This window comes from Homo sapiens, chromosome 19 (assembly GCF_000001405.40).
Source record: "Homo sapiens chromosome 19, GRCh38.p14 Primary Assembly".
NCBI lineage: Eukaryota > Metazoa > Chordata > Mammalia > Primates > Hominidae > Homo > Homo sapiens.
In genome coordinates, this window is record NC_000019.10 from 12,341,036 (window position 1) to 12,345,943 (window position 4,908).

Below are 4,908 nucleotides of genomic sequence, written 5' to 3' on the forward strand. Positions count from 1 at the left end.
TTATAAAACCTATTATTTTTATTTATTTATTTGGGACAAGGTCTCACTTCCATTGCCCAAGATGCAGTGCAGTGGCACAATCTTGGCTCACCGTAGCCTCGACCTCCTGGGTTCAGGTGATTCTCCCACTTCAGCCTCCTGAGTAGCTGGGATTACAGGTGCATGCCACCAGGCCTAGCTAATTTTTTGTATTTTTAGTAGATCTGCGGTTTTGCCATGTTGCCCAGGCTGGTCTTAAACTCCTGACCTCAAATGATCCGCCTGCCTCAGCCTCCCAAAGTGCTTGGATTACAGGCATGAGCCACTGTGCCCAGCCTTAAGGGCTTTCTTATCATTGATTACTTTATATGAAAATGAATTAAACTCACCAATAAAAAGGCAGAGATAAGCAGAATGGGTGAAAAATATGATCCAACTGTATTCTGCCTACTAGAAACTCATTTTAGATCTCAAGACACAAATAGGTTGAAAGGGAGGGCATGAAGAAAAATATTCCATGCAAATAGTAATCCAAATAGAACAGGGGGGGCTACATCACTATCATACAAAATAGAATTTAAGCCAAAAACTGTTAAAGGAGACAAAGAAGAACACTATTTATAAAAGAGTCAATACATACAGAATATACAACAATTATTAACATACTTGCACTAAACAACAGAGGCCCAAAATAAATTAAACATTAACAGAAATGAAGAAGAAATGGAGAGTTCCACAGTAAGAGTTTGAGACTTCACACTACATTTTCAAGAATGGATAGAATAATCAGATAGAAGATCAATAAAGAAATGAAATAACTTCAACAACACAATAAGCAAAACAGACAGACATAATGACATATACAAGCATACTCCACCCAATGACAGTAGAATACACATTCTGGTCAAGTGCACATGGAACGCTCTCTAAGACAGACCATAATTAGGACATAAAACACAAAAGGTCTTCATACAATTCTAAAAACTGAGATAATAAGATGTATCTTTTTCTTTTTGAGACAGGGTCTTGCTCTGTCACCTAAGTTGGAGTACAGTGGCATGACCACAGTTCACTGCAGCCTTGATTTCCCAGGCTTAAATAATCCTCCCACCTCAGCCTCCTAAGTATTTGGGACCACAGGCTGGAGTGCATGCCATCACACCTGGCTAATTTTTTCAAATTTTGTAGAGATGAGGTCTTACTATGTTGCCCAGGCTGGTCTTGATCTCCTGGGCTCAAGCAATCCTCCTACCTGGGTGTCCCAAAGTGTTGGGATTACAGGCATGAGCCACCATATCTGGCCTCAGATGTATATTTTTCAAATACAGTGAAATAAAACTATAATTATTGGAAAAAAATACACAAATAAGTGTAAATTAATTCATTCTTCAACAACCAATGGGTCAAATGAGAAATTGCAATAGAAAATACTTTAAGGCCATGAGACTCTGTCTCAAAAAAAACAAAAAAAAAAGAGGTTGGGGGTGGTGCCTCAAACCTGTAATCCCAAAAGTTTGAGAGGCCAAGATGGGAGGATTGCTTGAGACCAGGAGTTTGAGACCAGCCTGGGCAACATAGTAAGACTCTATCGCTACAAAAAAAATTAAAAAATCAGCCAGACATGCACATGCACCTATAGCCCCAATTACTTGGGAGGCTGTGGCAAGAGGGTCACTTGAGCCCAGGAGTTGGAGGCTGCAGTGAGCCCTGATTAGGCCACCACACTCCAGCCTGAATGATAGAGTGAGATCATGTCTCAAAAATTAAAAAAAAAAAAAAAGGAAAAGAAAAAGAGAAAATACCTTAAGACCACTGAAAACAAAAATCTAACACATCAGAACTTATGAGATGCAGCAATGGCAGTGCTAAGAGAAAATTTTATAGCTTTAAATGCATTAATTGCCTGGGTGCGGTGGGTTACACCTGTAATCCCAGCACTTTGGGAGGCCGAGGCGGGTGGATCACGAGGTCAGGAGTTCAAGACCAGCCTGGCCAACATGGTGAAACCCTGTCTCTACTAAAAATACAAAAACTTATCCAGGTGTGGTGGCAAGCACCTGTAATCCCAGCTACTTGAGAGGCTGAGGCAGGAGAATCGCTTGAACCGGGGAGGTGGAGGTTGCAGTGAGCTGAGATCACGTCACTGCCCTCCAGCCTGGGTGACAGAGCGAGACTGTCTCAAAAGGAAAAAAAAAAAGCATTCATTGAAAATGAAGAAAGAACTCCAATAAGTATTCTAATTCTTCAGTTTAAGGAACTAGAAAAGGAAGCGCAAACTTCTTTAAAAAGGTAGGAGACAAACTGGGTGTGGTGGTACATTCCTATAGTCCCAGCTGCTCAGGAGGCTGAGGGAGGAGCATTGCTTGAACCCAGGAATTCTAGGCTGTAGTGCACCATAATCAGGCCTGTGAATAGCCACTACACTCTAGCCTAAGCAACATAGCAGGACCCTGTCTTTAATATTTTTTAAAAGGCACTACAAAGAAGTAAATAATAAAGAGTAGAGCAGAGATAAATCAAAAGAGAATATAAAAACAACAGACAATATTATTGACACCAAAAGTTGGTTTGTGGAAACAAAATGGAAGAAGAAACAAGTTCTAATTCATTTTGTGAGGCCAGCCTCACTTTGAGATGAAAGGCAAGAAAAGACATTACGAGAACAGAAAAAGACTACAGAATATCTTTTATGAATATTGAAGCATAAATTCTTTTTTTTTTTTTTTTTTTTTTTGAGATGGAGTCTCGCTCTGTCGCCCAGGCTGGAGTACAGTGGCGCGATCTTGGCTCACCGTAAGCTCTGCCTCCCGGGTTCACGCCATTCTTCTGCCTCAGCCTCCCGAGTATCTAGGACTACAGGCACCCACCACCACGCCCGGCTAATTTTTTGTATTTTTAGTAGAGATGGGTTTCACCGTGTTAGCCAGGATGGTCCTGATCTCCTGACCTCGTGATCCGCCCGCCTCGGCCTCCCAAAGTGCTGGGATTACAGGCTTGAGCCACTGCGCCCAGCCTATTGAAGCATAAATTCTAAACAAAATACTGGCAAATGTACTTCAGCAGCATATTTAAAGGATTATAAATATGGAATTTGTTGGCCAGGAACAGTGGCTCATGCCTGTAATCCCAGCACTTTCAGAGGATGAGGTGGGCAGAGTGCTTGAGCCCAGCAATTCGAGACCAGCCTGAGCAACATGGCAAAACCCTGTCTCTACAAAAAATACAAAAATTAGTTGGGTGTGGTGGCATGTGCCTATGGTCCCAGCTACCCGGGAGGCTGAGGCAGGAGTATCACCTGAGCCCGCACCACTCCAGTCCAGCCTGGGCAACAGAGTGAGACATTGTCTCAAAAAAAAAAAAAAAAAAGTGGGATTTATTCCCAGAATGCAAAAGTGGTTCAATATACAGCAATCAATGTAATGTACCACATTAACGAAGAAAAGGCAAAAAACACATTTATCATCTCAAATGATACAGAAAAATAATTTGACAAAATTAAATACCTTATGTTCCTTTTAAAAAATACATTTGATAAACCAGGAATGGAAAGAAACTTCCTTAATAGGAAAAAAGTCACATATGAAAAACCTGTAGGTAACATGGTCAATTTGAAAGACTGAAAGCCTTCCCTCTAATATCAAGAAGACAGGATGCCCACTTTCAACAGTTCTATTCAACATACTAATGGAAGTTATAGCTACAGAAATAAGGTAAGAAAAAGAAATAAAAGGAATCCAAATTGGAGAGAAAGAAGTAAAATTATCTGTGTTTACAGATTACATGATTCTATGTGGAGAAAACACTGAAGACTCCACAAGGGAAAAATAAAATTTTACAGCTTATAAAACAAATGCAGCAATGTTGCAGAATATAAAATCAATACACAAAAATCAGCTGCTAACAATGAATAAACAATAGACTAACAATGAATAAACAATCCAAAAAGAAAATTAAGAAAATAATTTTAGTTATAAAAGCATCAAAAAAAGTAAAACACTTAAAAATAAATGAAACCAAGAAATCAGTGATGTGTACATTGAAAACTACAAAACATTCTTGAAGCAAATTAAGGAAGATAAATGAATGGAAAGATATCCCATGTTCATGGATTCCAAGACTTACTATTGCTAAGATTAAAATACTACCAAAATCAATCTACAGAATCAATGTGATCCCTATAGAAATCCTAACAGCTTCTTATACAGAAATAGAAAAGCCTATTCTAAAATTCACTTCAAATCTCTAGGGATCTCTAATACCAAAACAATCTTGAAAAAGAACAATGTTGAAGAATTCACACTGCCTTATTTCAAAACTTACTACAAAGCTACAGTGATCAAAACAGTATGGTACTGGCATAAAGACAAACAGATAGGCCAATGGAATAGAGTAGACAGCCTAGAAATAAATGCTCATATACAGGGTGAAATGATTTTTGACAACAGTGCCAAGACCGTTCTTTGGTAGAAGGACAATCTTTCAAAAAATGGTGTTGGGAAAACTGGATATCTACATGCAAATAATAAAAGTGAACCATCACATTACATCATGTATAAATAGTAACTTATATTTAATCAAAGACCTATACTTAAAAGCTAAAACTATAAAATACTTAGAAGAGCCTGGGTACAGTGGCTCATGGCTGTAATCCCAGCACTTTGGGAGGCCGAGCAGATCACTTGAGGTCAGGAATTGGAGACCAGCCTGGCCAACATGGTTAAACTCTGTCCCTACTAAAAATACAAAATTTAGACAGGCGTGGTGGTGGGTGCCTATAATCCCAGCTACTTGACTACTTGGGAGGCTGAGGCATGAGAATCACTTGAACCTGAGGTGGAGGTTGCAGTAAGTCAAGATCATGCCTCTGCACTCCAGCCTGGGTGACAGAGGGAGAAAAAAAAATTACTTAGCAGAAAACATAGGGGAAAA

The 4,908-nt window shown here is 39.4% G+C and overlaps 1 protein-coding gene across 1 annotated transcript in view; it reads right to left on the bottom strand.

Annotated features, from left to right (window-relative positions):
- ZNF563 (zinc finger protein 563) overlaps positions 1-4,908 on the bottom strand; it is a 29,914-nt gene that overhangs the window by 23,559 nt on the left and 1,447 nt on the right. The window lies entirely within an intron of this gene.